General features: G+C 37.7%; 1 long non-coding RNA gene across 1 annotated transcript in view; it reads left to right on the plus strand.

The window, feature by feature from the left end:
• Positions 1-19,739, plus strand: part of LINC01799 (long intergenic non-protein coding RNA 1799) — a 67,031-nt gene that overhangs the window by 41,473 nt on the left and 5,819 nt on the right. The gene's annotated exons all lie outside the window — the stretch shown is intronic.

The following is a 19,739-nucleotide window of genomic DNA, read 5'->3' on the forward strand; positions in this document are numbered from 1 at the left end:
CAAATAAAATATGAGAATTTTTTCTCTTTAAATAATTGGAGAGAAAAGGATGTTTTCAAGCATCTTTAAACTTATTTGGAAACATCTTGTCATATAAAAATCCAACCACCAGTTACAAATCAGCCTTGTCTGAGTTGAAGCAAGTCTGCAGAGATCTAAACTGGTGAAGGGCTAAGTGGAATGTATTGGCTTAGTTGGTATGGAGTTTGATATTAAAAAAAGCATATTTTATGTAAAATAGTGCATCTTTTCCCTTTTACCTGTTTTCTTATTAAATCAAATAACCCTTTCTCCCAATTAAAAAAGCAGGAAAGAGGAAAGGAAGAGAGGAAATGAATATTTATTGGGCATCTAAACAGAAACATATATTTTAATAGGCACTTTTACATGTTAACTCATTTAATTCTAAAAATAGTCTTCTGCATTAGGTACTGATTATTCTTTGAATTCAAAAGAATACATCTTCAGGAATTTGTACAAGAGATACTCTGAATGTATTTGTGGTCGTATGTGAAGGGTTAGAATCAAGTCACACACTTCTCAAAGACATGTTTTGTTTGGCCTGCAATATTGTTTTTAAAATTTTGAGCCAATTTCCAGCTTAGAGAAAAGTCAGAAACTCTGGCAACAGTGGGCCTACATCCAGAATTGCACCAAGTGGCTGGAGTACAGCAAGGATCCCCTTTCCACAGCCTGTGGTACCTACTTTGCCATAGCCATGCTCTGGCCTGTGCTGCTTGGTGATATTTTCTCCCATGTCTTTGTCAGTGTTTTGATGGAGATCCATAAATGATTAAAATCTTCTGCGTGGATTGTTATTGAAGAGCTTTGAATGTACTTATTTGTTGACCACATATGTCAATTTTCAGATGAGAGCAAAACTGAATGGGGGGCAGTTGTTTGGAGCATCTTCTGAGGACAGCACTGTCTAATGGAAATCACCTTACCTTTTTGTTTCTGCTGCACCTCAATAACACTGGGGCAGATGTTGAAAGCCCCTGCCACCCTCTTCCATTCCTCTCTGCCCATCTTCAGCAAATATTTACAAAGCAGTTGGTGTGTGCTCAGCAGTGTGAGAGAGATACAGAGGTGACTGATGTGTACCTGCCCTCAAGGAACATATAGCCCAGAAGAGGATAAAACATAAGAGGATATAACTGCAATGTGAGAAGCTCTATCTATACCAGAAGAACAAACAAGGGTCCAACATATACAGGAAAGGCTGATTAATTCAGACTTATGGGATCTGGGTGGGTTTTTATAGCAAAAGTATTATTTAATTAAGCCAGAAGTCTGAGTAGACATTTTTATAGTGGTAAAATATACGCAATATAAAATTTACCAGTTTAACTATTTTTAAGTGTGTAATCAGTGACATTAAATACCCTCAAAATGTTGTACTACCATCACTACCATCCATTGGGTAGGCTTTTGATGGGTAGAGAAAGTGATATTATCAGGTTCAATCACTCACATGCATTTGTAGAACAACATGAACTAATTTACTCATCTGCTGCCTCAACCCAAAGAGGATTTGAGGTATATTATAAGAAAACGTAGCATACAATAAATCCAATCTATAAAGTTTTATAGATAATTAGAGCAAAGAAATGAATTGTAAGGCTAGAAGACAAATTTGTTCACAGAAATTTTCTATAAGTTGGAGACAAATTTGTGTCCAAGCTTCATAGCTGTAAAAGCGAAGGGAATCATGATTTTTAAAAAAAAATCCTTTAATGTAAAATTGTTATTGTAGAGGTTTTTTTCTGAAATCATTTGTGCTCCTTTCATATATTTGTTGTACCTTTTATTTGCATATACTGGATTGCTTCGGATTTTCTTATTTAAAAGTAGCTGGGGATTTTTAAAAGATATGCTACTTCTTTGAGATATTTCAGAGCTCAGCACCTAAGTAATTTATTTATTTTAAAAGGAAGGTTTACATTAATTTTATTTAAAATGATATATTTTATAATTTTTACAGCTACAAGGATAGGATAATAGTAATAGTAATGGTTAAGAAATGCTTGCTATGGGCCAGAAACTGGACTAAATATTTTGCATATATGATTTAATTTTATCCTCACAATGTATCTGTGATGCATGTACTTTTTTCCCCTCTGCAAAGTGAGGCATACAGAAACTAACCAGGTCTCATGAGAACTCACTATCATGAGAACAGCAAGGGGGAAATCTGCCCCCACAATCAAATCACCTCTCACCAGGCCCCTCCTCCAACACTGGGGATTATAATTTGACATGAGATTTGGGCAAGGACACAAATCCAAACCATATCAGTAACAATAACAATACTCTAGAGCAAGGGGTTGGCAAATATATTCTGCAAAGGGCCAGATAGTAAATATTTTAGGTTTTGTGGACTATATGGTCTTTGTCACAACAACTCAACTCAGTTGTAGAATGAAAGCAGCCATAGACAAAAAAATCAAACCGAGTGGCCGTGTTCCAATAAAACTCTAGAGAACAGTTCACTGGCCCTTTGTAAGAAGGAATCAAGGCTGTATTCACCCACTTCTCTACAGTTTCCTACAGGCCTTTGCTGTCCTCTGGCTTCTTAATCGAGATTGAGTGGGGTTTCCAGATCATAAGGTCTTTTTAAACATATGTCATGTAATTCTCATATTACCCCAGTGAATGGATTGTTCCCTGGCTTTATGGATGAGAAACTAATATCAGGCACTTACAGGCCCCTGCTCAAGGCCACTAAGTGACCAAGAAGAAGCGCTAGTGTGAAGCCAGATGTTCTGACTTTGTAGGCAACTTCTCCTGCAATGTGTATCTTTCTATCCGCACAGATCATAACATGAAAAATTAGCCTCATTTTGAATGACTTCGCTGATAGTGCCTATTGACTACTCATACTTTGGATATGTTGTTTACTTACTTATTCATCCATTAAACCAATATTTATTGAAAGCCTCTTTTATGTCAGAAATGAAGCTAGATCCTAGTGATATAAAATCTGTCAAAAACTTATATGAGCCTTTCTCTTAGAGAATAGCAAAGAAGAAATATTACTCAAATAAGACCAAAAATACGACATTATTACTATTGTAGTAAAAACTGTGAAGGAGAAATATCTGTGAAGGAGAAGTATTCTAAATGTTTGAAGTCTATTATAGGGATATTTTATTCAGTCTATAGAAGTCAAGGAAGACTCCTCCTAAATAAGGGATAATTAAGAAGTAAAAAGAGAGGAAGGATTTAACAGGGCAACAAGAATTGAGGGTGTAAGAGCTAGCTTTCCAGACTGAGGAGCCAGCATGTGTAAAGGCACTGTGGCAGGAGGGATCCAGACCAAGGTCATGTTATGGTTCTGACTGTCATCTTCGAGACCTCCCTGAGAGTACCTCTTTACCATTAAAAACAAAATGTAGTCATTAAAATATTTACATAGAGGAACAATATGATCCCATTTTCATTTTGAGAAGATTGTTTTATTGCAGTAGGAAGAGTGGCTTGGACATAAATGGCTTGGTCTCATGGTTATGAGACCTCACTAGGCGTTACGGTGGCAATCACAGTGGATACAGAAGTGGATAGATGCAAGAGATAGCTGGGAGGTAAAATCAGTAGGATCAGTGGTGAACTGAGTAAGAGAGTTGAACTAGTGGAGATACTAAGAATGCCCCCTGGTTTTCTAAACATGGAAGGCTGGTAGCTCACTCACTGAACTGGAAGCATTCTTCTGGGATCTTTTAAGTGGAAGTATGAACCGTGTGAGTAGCCTTTCACATTTTGAGTTTGACATGCCTTTGAGACATCAAGGGAAGCCGTCAAATAACACTTATAAGTCTTGACTGTTCAAAGGAATAATCTAGAATGAAAATTTGTGAGGGATGCCTGGTAGCTGAAATCAGCCGAGGTGTATCCATCTTCTCTTCACATATGCCTCAGTTTTGTTAAGTGAGGAGAAAATATTTCTTATAGTCTAATAAAATAAAATCAGTAAGTGATTAAACCAACTCAATGGGGTGGAAACAAAGACTCTCCATCACAAGGGACTTTCTAATGCATATAGTGCAAAAAAATATACTTTTAGGTTTGAGAACAAAACTGTATTTTCTTAGTTAAGTGGAGATAAATTTATCCCAACTCACATTTGGAATTCAGGAAAAACCATTAGTAATCACCTAGAGCTTGCTGCAAATCTTTGAGACTGTTGTAGCTGAGAACCAGGGTGAAAGTTTTGAAATCTGCATTGTGTAGAAAGGGCTTGTTGCTTGTTTATTGTGCATCTTTCTCTCCTTATGCCTCCTCTTTGCCTGAAGCTACCATCAGGAATGAGACATTGCAGTTGCCATTTTCTGGTGAAGTATGTAAAAATAAACATGAGCTAAATGCACATTTATGTGGCGTTTAGAAGAGAGGCACTGCAACTCTACATCTGATTTTACTTCTTCCTTCTTTGCTTTCTTTGGTTTTTGTCTGCAGTTTCTGCTGCAGCCGTGGGTGACTGCTGTATGGAATCATTAAAAAAATCGAGTCAGCTAAAAGAGGCAACTGGAAAAAAATAAACACTGCTACCTGGAGGCACAGATATTAGTTCTAACTCTTCTACAAACTGTGATCTCGAAAAAAAAATGACTTGATTATTTAATTTCACTATAAAATGCAAAAGGAAGTTGGTTAAAGTATTCCCTAGAATCACGTGTCTCAGAACAAGACACTTAAACCAATCACCCCCTACCAGTGTACCTGGCATCAGAAGGATGCTGGGATGGGGGCTACCCACACTCTTAGAACAGTACCTGGCAGATAGATAGTGGGTCCTCAGTAAATATTTCATAAATGGATGGATGAGTAACAAGTGATCATTGGTCTCTTTGAAGTTCTCCTAGGTCAAAGAACTTATTCAATTTTTCCTTCTTTCATTTTAAGACACCTCTCGCCACATCTTTCTTGTATTAAAGTTCACTCAAAGTGTGTCCAATAAATATTTGCTGAATTTCTCTTTAGAAGGTATCTGAAATCTTTTTCCAGAATTCCTACCAGTTATTACTAAAGCACCTACAAACTCTAATAGTAGGCACTGCCAAGGTACTTTAAAAATAAAATCTTCCCATAGGAATTTCCAGTTTTAAAAAATCTTACAGAATTCTAACAACATGAGCAGCCCAACTCTCACCCTGGAGATTTTGTCTTCTCTTTCTCCTACATACATTTCTTATTATAGTCACTGCCTATCTTACCCCAGAGTCCTTGGTTAGTAGCATCCATGTAGCAATTCACTCCTCACATTATCCAAGAAGCTTGCTAAACTCTCCTCTGGGGAATCAGTGGCCCTGACTGGGGATTAGGAATACATACAAATGAATTCAATGCAGTCGTTCTCTGTCCAGCAGTGGGAACAGACCCTAAATAGTCACAGAGTGATGGGAGATGCTATACCAAGTGCCATGCTGCTAAGAGGAGTGGGGTACTGACTGCCCAGGGAAGCAGTGAAGACAGCTCAGAGAAAGGACACTGGAACAGAGCATGGAAGGATGAGTAGTAGTGGGTCAAGAAAGGAGATGAGGGAGGGCACCGTGAGTAGAAGGGTGACAGTGGCATGTAAGAACAAGTATATTCTAGTAATAGGGAGAAGCCAAGTATTGTTGAAATCTGGTTTCCCCAGACCACCTCCCCAGGGTGGAAAAGCAATGTCTTCATGCTGAGCTCTGGTTTCCCAAGTTCCTGCTCTAATGCCACCATCTGTACCTGAGCTCTCCTGGCAAGATGCTTTAGGCTACCCTTCACGCTGGGCATAACAGGTGTTACCAGTGGTGCCTATGCCTAAGGTAAAGCTGACAAATATCCCTGTGCATGAGAAAAACAGAAATCATATCTACCTGGTATAATGAATTACATTTCTTGAGGGAAGAGGTTTTTCTTCACACATTTGTGGATTCTCAAGAGATGGCATACGATCACACATTATGGGAAACTCCAAACTCTGTTAGCCTTCTGTCATGTCAGTTCTTATAGAACTTTTTATTTATATTTAACTTATATCATTGAAGTTACCTAAAATTGAACAGGAAAGAAGTTTCTTTTGGAGGCTCCTTATATTGATTTATTTGATTTGGGGGAAGAGAGCATATTGGTTTTCTTCATTCAGTAGAGTTACATCTTAAAGTTTAAAAGTAACATTCCAAATTTGGGGACTCTCATCTTTATAATTGTATGCACTACTTCTTTTTATTGTTTCAAATGGGCAGTCTTTAATTTTTACCAGATTAAATACTTTGATAATTACTGAATTTTAATTTTCATGTAAAACACCATTGCCACACCACTTTTCCCCTGCTTTATTTTTTTCTTTCTAGAATAAAAATGCTAATTTTTTAGCACTCTGGCACTGTAGCCACACAGCCCAGATTTGAGGCTTGACCTTGAAAACACTATAGAGTGACATCAATTTCGCAGTCAAGTTACCATAAGGATAGTTTTAGTGCTGGGCAAAACGGGTATATGTCAGCTCACAGGTGTCTCATGCACACTCTCTCTGTTTTAGTTACCTTGGGTTCATACCATTACATTTCCCTTGCTTTGTGAATCTGAATTTAAACCAGCCTCATCTTAAGCCAATCCTTCAGCTTCCCTCAGGGAAGACTTCAGCTTGGGTTGAACTGAGCCTTTTCCTTCCCAAGGAGACTTGACGACTGAAAGGCTCCAGTAACTTAGTTCTTTCTGCATTGAGGAATTTGTTAGGATGGTTGCCATGTATTTAAACACTGTAATAAAAAGCCTGGAGCATTTCCAATCTATTGAGTCCCTCCAGTTCTTTGTGCCACTGTGCCTCTGAGATTTACCATTTGGTTCTTTAGAAGTTACCTGGACTGGTAATTCTCAAATAAATACCTGGTGCAATGGCTAGTGCTAATGGACTGCAGAAGAATCTGCTGGGAGCTTGGCAAAAGTAGAGCTTCTTGGGCTTTACACAAAGCAATTCTGATTCAGTAAATTTATGCTGAGGCCCAGGAATATGTATTTTTAGAAATCTCCAGGGCTTTCTGGAGTCAAGTTCAGTTGCCAGAATTTTCTGAAGTTCTTCAACTCTTATCAAAGATGTCCTGAAGGTAAATGAATCACGAACTCTTTCAAACCATGAGATGCTTTAGTTTTTCTTCTGCTTATGAGAATAATAATGTGCCTCAAATTGTGATTTGCAATTAATTTCTAGTTTTATTTCATGGTATTAAAAAACAAAGCATAAATAATTATTACTTTGAAGAACTTCTTGAGATTTTCTTTGTGACTAGAATGTGATTTTTTTTTTTGTAAATGTACCCTTGGCACTTGATAACTAAAAGATTCAAAGGTATAAAAATAGTGATGAGATCATTCAAGTCAGTTTATTATTTTATTCCGAGTACTTGTTTTGTGAAAAATTGAGAAAAGTATATTAAAATTTCAGTGTCACTTTTGATTTTCTCTGGTTGAACTTGGATTTCTGTTATTTATGTAAGTATATTAATACCATCATTGAAATTTCACTTGTGTCAAAAATATTTAATTTTTAAAACATTATATGTTCTATCAGTATAAAATTGTGTGCCATTTAATATGCTTTTTCTCAAACGCAACTTTATTTTACATTGGTGTTTCCACCTCTGTATTCTTTTAGTTTGCATCACGTACTTTAAAACTTTTATTATCATTTGTTTTGGGCATGTTTACTGCATTGAGAACTAGGCTCTGAGGTTACACTATGTCTTGGATCCTGATTCTAATACTTATTTGCTATGTGATCTTGGGCAAATTTCTCAATATCTATAAGCAGTTCAATGAGTTTAGGTAAGACCTTCACACATGATACTCAATAAGTATTAGCCATTATATGATAATGGTAAAAATAGTAGTAGTCATGGTAGTTGAGTAAAAGAGTAGAAGTAATATCATCCACTATTTCATTGTATGCTATTTTATTATCCTGTCTTCTTCTATTTTTTTAAATGTCTTTTACTATTGCTTGTTTGTCCCTTAAGTTTTCTCTAGAGATCTGAAATCTATATATTCTTTTTATGCTATTAATGATTTACATATAGTAATTTAAATTCTACATATTTAAAGTCTGACTTAGCTCCATGTTTTCACCTGTCAAAAATGAAAGGTAGATATCGAGCTTTCTTTTGAGATATCTAAAAATATATTGCTTTTATATTCTTTAATTTCCTGCCTAATTTACCAGTTTTCTTTTTAAATAATCTTAGATCTAAATGGTTGTTCATTTTTTATATGATGTGTATTCTTTATAAAGAATTATTTTGACATTTATATTGGCTTATAACCATAATAACATTTATTTAAACATTATTTATCTTAAAGACTCATTACTGTTTTTTTTCACATTTTCCTTTCCAGATACTTTATACTTTCACCAGTGAGTTTAAGCTAATCATTAAGTAATGTTTTTACATTTGGATATATGGTTGGAATATCTGTTTTCCTACATGTTTCTGTTAGTATTGCACACACATAAATGATTGTCTGGATTTAGAATTTCTAGGTTATAGTCTTTCCTGTAAATAGATATAATTCAATTATCTTTGGGCATTTAGTATTTCAAAGGGAAAATCTGATGATAATTTTATATACATATGTGTGTGATATTTACATGTTTATTACAGTTCATATATTTATATACACATATGGGTGAGCATTATCTATCTATCTATCATCTATATAATCTTTTCTTTGAAGATAACAGAACAGTAATGGGATGTTTTATCTTCAAAAATCAACAGTTTTGCTCAGCAATTGCTAACTGGGGGATTACTTTTCATTAATTTTACCTAATATTTGATGCATCTTGTTGAAATTATTTTTTTATTTTTTTCTAAATCCAGAAAGTTGTCTATTAATACACTGTCTATTGCTTTTCCTCCATTTACTATTTCACCTCTTGTAGAATCCTTAGGGAGTTCTTATATCTGCCCTCAGTCACGTATCTTTTATTTCATCATGTGAATATACTCATGTTTTCTCTGATTTTGGGAAGAGTTCCCCCTCTTACCTTCTAATTCTCTTACTCAGCTTTCGGTAGTATTTAATGTGTTGATCACACAATCCTATGTGTTTTAAATTTATGAATCATAATTTTCATCTCCAATGAAACATTCTAGGTAGTAAAATTTTCCTTTTGCATGATTGCCTGCTCTTGAGATATAAAAGCAACATCCTCACAAGTCTTATTAAGAATACCAATTAGTGTCTTTTTAAACTTGATGGTTTCACAGTGAGTAAATGGCAAAGCTACATTTCTGATCCCAAACCCTGAATTCTTAATCCCTATGTTTTACAGTCCCTTGTTTTAATACCTGTAAGTATAAGATCTTTCTTTACTTTTAAAATTTTTTTTAAAAAGGCACATTATGTTCAGATGCTCATAGTTTCATTAAATTTGACTGGTTAATGGTGAACCTTTTTTTTACATCTGAAAACTAGGCTCTTTTCCAGTTTAAAAAGGTGTCCTATTACAGCTCGATTATTTCTCTTGTGTATTTGTCTATTTCCTTCTCAAAAAATAGCAGTTGCCCCAATGTCTTTGCTCAGAATTCTGGGAGCACTTCCTTGGTTAACATCTATCAGTTGATAAGCTTTTCTGTGGCACGGATCTTGCTGATGAGGAATTTCATTTTCATAAAGTTAATCACAGGAAATGAAAGTCACCCTGCATCCTGGAAAGAGTGCTGCGCTGGAAGGAAATGTATCACCTTTCTGTGGCCAGTAGATGGGTGCTAATGAGGTACCTCACCTCTCTGTAAGCCTTGGTGGTCTCCTTTCAAAATGGGGAGAATAATAGTTGCCACATCTGCCCACAAGATCAAGGGAAATAAGGCATGGGATAGTGCTGCAGAAATTGAAAAATACATCCTTAAACACTCAGAAATTTTAAAAGCTATTTTTAGTGCCAGATCCAGGACAATGATCAATGCATATAAAATATCACTGCTGAAAACAAACTAGTCTGAAACAAGTAGTCCAGGACCATCATGTTACAAATGAGAAAGCTAGGGTCTAAAGAATTTAAGTGACTTGCTCATGGTATCCCAGTTAGTAATAGACAGGGAGTAAATCCCTGCAACTCTCCAGCAAAGAGATCTGTGTTATTTTTATTTGTGCTTGAGACACATTTTTCACCCAGGAACAATGTGGTAAAAGCCAGGTCACTTGCTTTAAAGGCTCTTTGAGATTTTTCTGAGACTTTTTTTATATGTAGATGTCTTAGAGAGTTAATCTGGGGTGTAGGAAGTGAACTACCTTGGCTGGATGCTACAGGCCACTTCCCTGGGTTTTCTGAAATGGTTCTTCCTGGCCTGGCGCGGTGGCTCACGCCTGTAATCCCAGCACTTTGGGAGGCCGAGGAGGGCGGATCACGAGGTCCCGAGATCAAGACCATCCTGGCTAACACGGTGAAACCCCATCTCTACTAAAAATACAAAAAATTAGCCGGGCATGTGGCGGGCGCCTGCAGTCCCAGCTACTCGGGAGGCTGAGACAGGAGAATGGCGTGAACCCGGGAAGGGGAGCTTGCAGTGAGCCGAGATCACTGCCACTGCACTCTAGCCTGGGCAACAGAGAGAAACTCTGTCTCGAAAAAAAGAAAAAGAAAAAAAAGAAATGGTTCTTCTTGCTGAAGGATAAGAACAGCTTCCCCAGGGAAAGTACAGTCTTCACAGATGAGTGAGTTCCCTAACTTTTTTTCTGGGATGCTCCTGTTAGAGCAAAACTTGAAGTAAAGAAACTAAAAAAAGCAAAATCTTACTCTGTGGAAGAGATAATCAAACAACATAATTTCAGTAATGTTCTAAGATATCCCAAATATTATAACCAGCATTATAACTAACATGATAGATTAATATGCAACACAAGGGAAGAATGATAAACTACAGCAAGCCCCCACATAAAACCCCACCTTTTCTTCTTGTCGAAACCCCCAGATGTGCACCAAGTGATCAGTTTTTCCATTAAAAGTTCAAAAGATGGAATCCAGATGTTTCTTTCAGCTCCATGCCCTTTGACCTCTCATGCATTTACTTGCTCTTGGAGTTTTTGGTCACATGACTCTCTGAACTTTATGTTCTACCTAAATAGCTCTGAAATTTACTCTATGATAATGGAGCATAGAGTTGTTTGGGTTGGGGATCAATTTCATGTCTATGAAGTGTTGCTGAAACTTTAAAGTTTTTTCTTTCAATTTTTTTTCAAAAGACTGTCTGTGTTTAAGTCATGTTATCACTAGTCTATCTGGAATTTTAAGTGCTAAACATTTCAAGTGCCAAATGTTTGACCCACTTTGGCAATAAAGGGTTGCAATGGATGAAGGTACTAGAAGATAAATTATCTTTCTTAGTATTGCAAACAGAGCATTCATAGACACGTCACTGTGATGAGGTGGACAAAATGTTCTAAGAAACAAATTGCTTAAAAGGTATTTCTTGGCTTTCAATAACCAATCAGAAAACCATCTACACTTGCACAACGTAGCAACAAAAATTGCTTTGAAGAAGATAAACAGCTCTCCACCCTGGACACAAATGTGGTAGTTCCTAGGCATAGGATGGTAATAGGATCCTTTGAAAATTTAAAACGAAAGCATGTGGAAAATTACACATTTACAGTGGCAACTATTCAATGTGATGTGGAAAGTCAGTTGTAATATATAATGATAACTGAAGAATGCGGCATGTGAACTTATTTTTTCTCTAGCTCTATGAGCAGTTCCCAAATTGATTAGAAGTAGTAGTTATAAATTTAGATTCCTGCTGTGGAAAATAACAGTAAAGCCATGTTCATTTTTAACGTTTTTCAAAGGTCCTTAGAAATGCCATTTTTCATACCATAAATCTGTGGTAGTTGAATGTTGGGTTGCTTTCTCAAAGGAATGTTGAAAGTACGGTTGCAGTTTGCTGTGGTCAAGCTTGGTGGAAAGAGTCACTAATGGGGACCCAAAAGGATTCTTAGAGTATCTGACCAATGTTGTTTTTGACGAAATCATATTGCTACAACTGAGAAAGATTAGAGAAAAAAAAACAGTTATCTGAGACTAAAATGATTCTTACCAATTATATTTGGCAGGTTTTCACCCGTTAATATTTTGTTCCTGGAAAGGCCTGTTCTGGAAAAAGAGAGATGCTGGCTTATCCATGTAGGGCAGATCCAACTAGGGAAAGCAAAATAGCACCTCAACATTATTCCTCTCTGAAAATCTAACTTATTCACTGAGTCTTCTGATACACGGTTTGTTTGGATAGGAGGCAACTGGTTCCCTGGTTCCCATGCCCACCACGAGGCAAGTTAGTCCACAGAATAGGAAAACCGACCTCCTATTTGTTTCCTGGGACTAGGAAGATGACTTTGCCACTTGAAAAATGAATTATTTTCCTACATTTCTTATCACCTCTGTTATAGGTGACGAATGTAAATTACAAAGTAAAAAATATTTATCTATAGTCTTTAAAGCTATAAAAACAGTTTTTACAGTACTTTTTTTTTACTCTTAGTGTAATAATTAGGTAACATATATTGCTACTCAATTTACCCACTTTTCATTTCATCTGGCTCTGTGACTTGCATTTATTTCAATGGCATTAACTAATACAGATGGAGTAATATAACAAAATTGACAACTGGCAAATAGATCAATATCAAGTAAGAGGATTTCTATAGCTAGTGTTCTACTAGCCAGGTAGTAAAATAAGGCAATTATTTGGTAATTTAGGTACAAGTAGAATTCTATTTGTTAAAGAATGGGAATCAAAATGATATGCATAATTGGCTGCATATCTTATTCATTCATTTACTTAATCATTCATTTATTTGACAAATATTTATTAAGTGCCAAAGGATAAAACATGGTTCTTTGTCTTACAGAGCGTATAATGGAGTTAGGATGACTGGATACACATGTAAGTCATCATCTTTACGTGCTTATTGTCACTTGGATCTGGCAGGTTGACTATTGAATAGTACCCGACTGGCACTAATAAAATTGCTAAACTGCTGTATTTCAAGTTACTTCTATTTTGCAACACTTTAATGGAATTATATAATTGTCACATCAGGAAAAACAAATTATTTGAAAATGACTCAAACATAGTAAAAGTAGACTGATCCATAAATGTATTAATAATTAAATTAGACATTTATACTTTCACATGTTTCTTAAAGTAGCAATTCTCATTTTAACACCAAGTCTGCCTCCTGAAGGACTTTATACATTTTCTCATGAGCCATTTGTGGCTTGGTCAGTGCTTTCATTTTTATTCTTGTGTCTTCTTTTCCTTCTTCTGTCAGACCGTGACTTGCTGTCTTAGGCCCTAACATCCTCATTAATATGGATATCTTTGTCAATGGTACTGCTGTTGGTAGAATAACTGGTAAGTTGAGATAGAGTGGCAGTTTCCATTCAACTTTATTTCACTTTTTCTGCTTTGAATGAAAACTCGGGCTACTTGCAACAATTCTGGTCACTGTCTAATAATAAAGAGTCACTGGGTCACTTCAGTTCATTAAGTCACAGAACCAAGTCACAAAATAATTAAAAGACCCAATCACATCAGAACTCCAAAGCCTGACTTACCTTTAAGTTGCCTCTCAACTCTAGCTTGTACCTGCTTAAGGCTGAGACCCTGCAACAGTGAGTGTGTGGAAAGCATTTGTCTTTCTATTGGACTCTGTCTCAGCTTACACAGATAGCTTCCCCCACCCTCCACCTGTGGCTTTTCTCCTACCCCGGGGTTGAAGGTAGGAGTGACAGAGAGTGGGGAGAGGTAAGGGGATAGAAAAATGCCACTTTGCTGAGAAGTACCATGCTCTCTGGATCTGGTGTACTGTTAAACTCATTCTTTCCTTGTGGGCACATATTTATCCTATTAAGAGATTCCTTGCTAGAGCTTTTCCTCCTGAAGTTCTCTTAACTCTGGTGGATGAAACTGTATTCCAGGTAGTCACTGAAACTTCTTGAGAAGAAAATTGCTAAACTGCTGTATTTCAGGTTACTTCTATTTTGCAGCACATTAATGGAATTATATAATTGTCACATTAGGAAAAACAGAAATTATTTGAAATTGACTCAAACATAGTAAAAGTAGACTGATCCATAAATTTATTAATAATTAAATTAGACATTTATACTGTCACATGTTTCTTAAAGTAGCACTTCTACTTTTAATACCTAGTCTGCTTCCCAAAGGACTTTATTGGCCCCTTGGGGGACACCTGTACCTTGTGGGTGCTGAGTGTGTCATTGCTCCAGGAGATCATATTGGACAGAACCCAATGCAATGCCACACTGGTCTTCTCTTCCACACCTCCCTCACGTGATTCATGGGAGACACGCTTGCATCTCTTGTCTTGCCAACTCAGAAAGTGCAGGCCAGTCTCTCCGCCACTACCTTCCACCACCAATGCAGGCAGCCAGCCAGCCTTCTCCAGATCACATGAGAGGTGCTGGCATTCCTGCGATCACAAAGGGCCCTCGGACGCCTGAGGCTGCAGGCAGACCCAAATTCACCATCCCAAGAGTCAGGCATTAGTCAGGGACCCAGCTCGTGTTAAGTAGTTTCCTGAAACTCTGCTCACTTGGTTTATGTGAGTATGAACACCCCCTTCCACTCACCCACAGGAAGGGAAGATGAAATGACAACACTGGAAACTCTCTCAAAAAAAAAATCCTCCCCACTCTTCTTGAAAAAAATCCTCTTTCCTCTGTAATCTCTTTTATCTGCTGCATCTGGTTGAGTGGTCAAAGAGTTCGGAAACAGTTTCTGAGATCATTCTTTTTATCAGTCTTTATAAGCACAGGAGAGGGGGGGTCCATCTACCACCCCTTTGTGCATCATATCTATCACCTTAGGGTCTCAGTGAAGACTGGGGCAGGGAGAGTCCCAGGCCAGCTTTCATTTGTGGTAGTATTTGGAATATGAGAAATGAGTGATTTAATTTTTCTAATATATATGAGGGGCTGCCCTTTCTGAATAAAATAAATCTGCTACTTATATGGTCCTGTCCCTTGGAAGTCTACCTCACATTTAGTCCATTCCTCTATCTCAGATAGGTAGAGACAATTTATTGAACTTTATAAACCACAGAATTTGAGGTGCGTAGCTTCTAGGTATGGCCCCAAAGCACACTGATGCCTTGGGAAATCCAGATTCTCTGTGTCCAGTATGTTCCATGGGCTACCTCAGAGATTCCAGAGTTTAGCAGATTATTTACCAATAAATAATCAAAACGCTGTTAAGTGTTGAGAGAAAGGGAATGAATTCCAGGCTGAAGTGACCATAGAAGGCTCTCCTCAGATGGGGCTACTTCTTTTTAGCCATTCTTATAGCTCCAGGTAATGAGTCGCAACCAATTAGCAATCCTCCTAGAAGGTCTAGGTTAGTCATTCATGATTGACTCTAGCATCAATGAAAGCTTCAGGCCTAAAATCAGCCCAATGCTTAAATTCTTATAAAGGAAAGAAAAATACGGCTTGGATTTTAAATTTTACACTGTTCTGAACTTAAAAAGAGTACTTAAAACACAAGTCACAAGGATTGACCAGGGCAATTCAGAAAAGCTTATTCAAGGGGTGTTGGTGCTTGCAAAAGATCAAATCATTTGTTGATTTCATAAACTGTATAAACTGTGTTAACATTGCACAAATACTTTTTCTTAAGACTAGTAATGGACATATCAGGCCTTGTTGCCTTTCCCACATGAAGCAGTGTAAATTAATTTGTCCCAGCTTACACCTCTGTTGTCGAATCAACACGGTCTGGCCGCCTTTTGTGAAATGCCAACTAATGGATCAAAGCCTCTGGAGAATGACCCCTATTTTCCCCCAAATATGTGTGGTTTTCTGGAAATCCATATCTCTCACCTCTTTAAATGTCTGTGGGTTATTGTGAGAAGACAGTTCCCATCATTTTTACTTAGGCCCATCTTGTTCCTAATTTGCAGCCTGTAAGCCATCTGAGTGTTCCACGCCCATGAAGGTCATGTTTTAGTGGGTTGTCCATGTTTCTGCCCAGTGACGTGCATTCTAATTCTGGCTGTCCCATCTCTGTTTCTAGTTCCATCTGAAGCAAGCCCAGGTTGGTTCTTTGTGGCTGCCTTAACCTTCCTTACTATACAGGTCACTGTGAAGACCATCTGCTTCCTAGGAGAAGATGCTAGGAAAGAAAGCACCAGTCAGACATTTCAGCCATATAGGGGCTGAGTTAATATTAATTATTAATATTAACATTAGATTAATATTGTGAATGTACATAATATTTATCCTTTTAGCCATTCATAGGTATACAATTCAGTGGCATTAAGTACAATCACAATGCTCTAGAATCATCACCGTTATCAACACCCAACACTTTTTCATCATCCCCAACAGAAACTCTGTACCGTTAAACAGTAACTCCCCTTTACCCACTTTCTTTAATAACAATGAAAGATACCCAGGTGGGAGAGGAGACTGTTGAGTCAGGGTCCTCTTAGCACTGCTTAGAAATTCCCATGGTAGACAATGGATGGGAGAGGAAAAAAAATAGACTAAAAATCCAAATGCTGTCTCATGTAGTATATAAGGAAAAGCTGGGGAAATGTGCCTTTCTGTTGATTGAAGTCATTTTCAAGATTTCAGTGTTTTGGTTAGCTTTTATTTTCTTTCTTCATATCCAAGCAAATTAAATATAAGCAAAAACTGGAGGAGACACCACTATGGCCCTGACATGGAGGAGAAAAGGGATGTTCTTGACTACCTAACATATGCCTTGCTTTCAAGACAAGCTGCAAAATAGGTTACTTGGGCAGGCAGTGCACTCCAAAGATCCTGGCTCAGGGCAATGGGACCAGATGACAAGTTGATAAAGACCAGGGCTGGCCTCCACCCCCTCTCTGCCTCTCAGGAATGACCCTCCCACCGGCATGGCTGTGCAAAAGGACAATCCATTTTAACAGGCTGAGTAGCTCCAGGGGCTCAACAAAAGCAAATAAGCTCCATGTCCCACAGTAAATCGTCTCTAGCTGAATGATGTCTGGTTCCTTTCTGGAAAGAATGTTCTTCCCTGAGTTGTAGTTTGCCAAGGGTCAAATATGACTGAAATGAAGTGTTGCTAATAGTGATTGAAAAGGATTCCTACTGTTTGTGGCCAGTGCTGGGTAGTAGAAAGGCCAAATTTGTGGGCCAGAAAACAGCAGGAGACAATAAACTTTCCCCGAGACTTACTAAACTTTAAGTCACCTCTGCTCCCCCAGCCATTCTGTCAGCCCTGTTTGGGGGAAACTGATATTATAATTGCTAATCTCAGCAAGGGCCTAACGTGCAACCTGAAGCTTTTTTCAGCCTTTGGTGCAATTAGGGCGGAGGGCAAGGCCCACAGACACCGGCGGGCTCTGCCCCCTCCTCCCAAATTGCCCCACTTGGGTTTCCTCCACACCCTGACATCCTCTGTAGACAGGTAACTGAGCAGTGCTGGCTCCCAGCTTTCAGGGAGAGAAAATTATTCCTCCTCAAGCTGGCTGGGAGCTATTAAAGGTTTAAATGTCACCTCAAAAGAACTCTTTGCTAACCTTTAAGTGGTGGTGTCTCCAGGGCTGTTTGGGGCAGGCTTTGCCCCCTCCCAGGGAGTCTGGAGAGCTGAGAACATTTGTATATGCATTTCCTCCACCCCTCCTTTTCTTTTTCTCCTTTCAGGGAATTATCACTCTACCTTCAAAGGGGGAATTTTGTGGGACAACTGGCACCTGCTGGACTGGGCTTCCCAATGAAGGCTCTCTTGGCTGAGTGTATAATTTCATTTACCTACTGTCGACAAATTCCCTTTAATCCTAACCACCACTTACGAGAATATTTACTATCAAAAGGAGACAAATCGCTATTTAAATGTGGATTTACTCAAGTCTGAAACTATGACAGTGACATACAGTAAAATGATAATATGTAAATAACAGCTGGAGACAGATTTATCTTCTGAGAAAGCTGGGCAGAGCAGTGGATTAAAGTCATATGTGATCTACTTTGAGTGGACTCAATTCAGACACAGCGTTCAGTTATGACCAACAACGCCATTCATTCTGCTTACTTCAATTCATTTGGCCCTAGTTCTCAATGACCCTCTGTTACCATGCATACACCTCCGATAAGTAGGCCTTGATGTTTACAGCACTTTGGAGAAGAATAAATGCAAACTGCACATTATTTATGGGTGTGCACTCTTAGCTTAAGAGGGATTTGTCAGCAGTGTGAATACAGGTAGAATAAGTAGATGTGTGTTAGGGCAGATAGCCTGGTTTCCAGAAACTAAGTAGAAAGAAAGGAGCTAAATAAAATATCACCCCAAGACAACAGCTTTCAATTATTGCCCATGATCCTGAATTCCTCCCAATGAATTGAAAGGAAATCTATACCAGATGGCATTTTCCTGAATCAGCCAAGTTCACCAGTCATTCCCGCCTCTTAGTGATGGGCAGCAGTGCCAAGGAAGAGCCGGCCTTTCATTTTCTGCCTCTGCTCACCAGTCACAGAAAGCAACTTTGCTTTCTAGGGATGAGTTTCCTAATTGCACTGAAATGTAATTAGAACAGTTAGAAATGGAGGGCCTTTTTTTCTAAAAAAGCAGAAATCAAGCAAATTGTGCCCTGTGTTCTTTGGCAGTGGTGGTCTAATGAGCCTAAGCCAGAACTGGGAAAATACTGAACACACATTATGTCACTTATTGACATGGTGATAATCTTCTCAATTGAGAGTAGCTCAAAACATGTAAAGTCACTCACAACTCTTAAATGTATGGAAGGTGGGGCATAAAAATCACTGTATTGTAATGCAGCATTAGAATACATTGTATTGAGCCCACTCATATATTACAAGGGAGAGCTGGCCTATGTTAATCGCAGTCTTCCTTAAATTATCTTGTCCCAAGACACCAAGTCTGAGAATGAAGACAAATATATTCCATTGAAAAAGCCAGAATAGATCTGATACCTCTAACTTGAACAGTACAGTATCTGATATTGGAGTGTTTGTAGGTTTCTTTTAGAAAATTGTTCCCTGTATAATACCCATAGGGTTGGATCCAGTGTATTCTTCATTCACAACTAAATATGAGGAAGCTAAAAAAAAAACAGGGGTCCTACATATACTTCCTTCTGCCAAGGAAAATATATTCATGACAAAGAGACAAATATCCAGTTAATTTATTCAACTAATTACTTTTTTAATATATTTTCTCACCATATAGTATAATTTTATTAGTGGATAAATTATTTTATTGTGTTGTTTACTATCTTGGCAACTAAAGTTGATCCTATTTTAAGCATGTGACGATCTGGAACACTTATTGGTGAATAAAGGGCAGAATTTTTTTTTTTTTTTTGGCAAGGATTCATCGCTGATTTGGAGAAGAAGCAGGAAAGGATGGGGATGAGGAACAAGAGATCAGTAATAAAATGTGATTGACTATGAATGACAGATTTGTTTCCAAGCTATGAAACTCTTCCTCAACATGTTATGTAAAGGTCACTTTGGTTAGACCCAGTACCTTGGTGATTCAAATGTACAGCTGTTTGTTTAACAGAAAGTAGAACAAAACACCAACTCAATCTAGGAAGAAACTTGACTGACAGAACAGGCTAAATGTAAATGGTCCATGAAAGATTCTTCTGTTTAACTAAATATAGGTATCCAACAGTTGATGGTTGAGGTAGCCAGGGGCCTCCAGATGGTTGCAAAAAGATAATCTATCAATGTTAAC

The sequence above is a fragment of the Homo sapiens genome, chromosome 2 (genome assembly GCF_000001405.40).
Source record: "Homo sapiens chromosome 2, GRCh38.p14 Primary Assembly".
NCBI classification, from domain to species: Eukaryota; Metazoa; Chordata; class Mammalia; order Primates; family Hominidae; genus Homo; species Homo sapiens.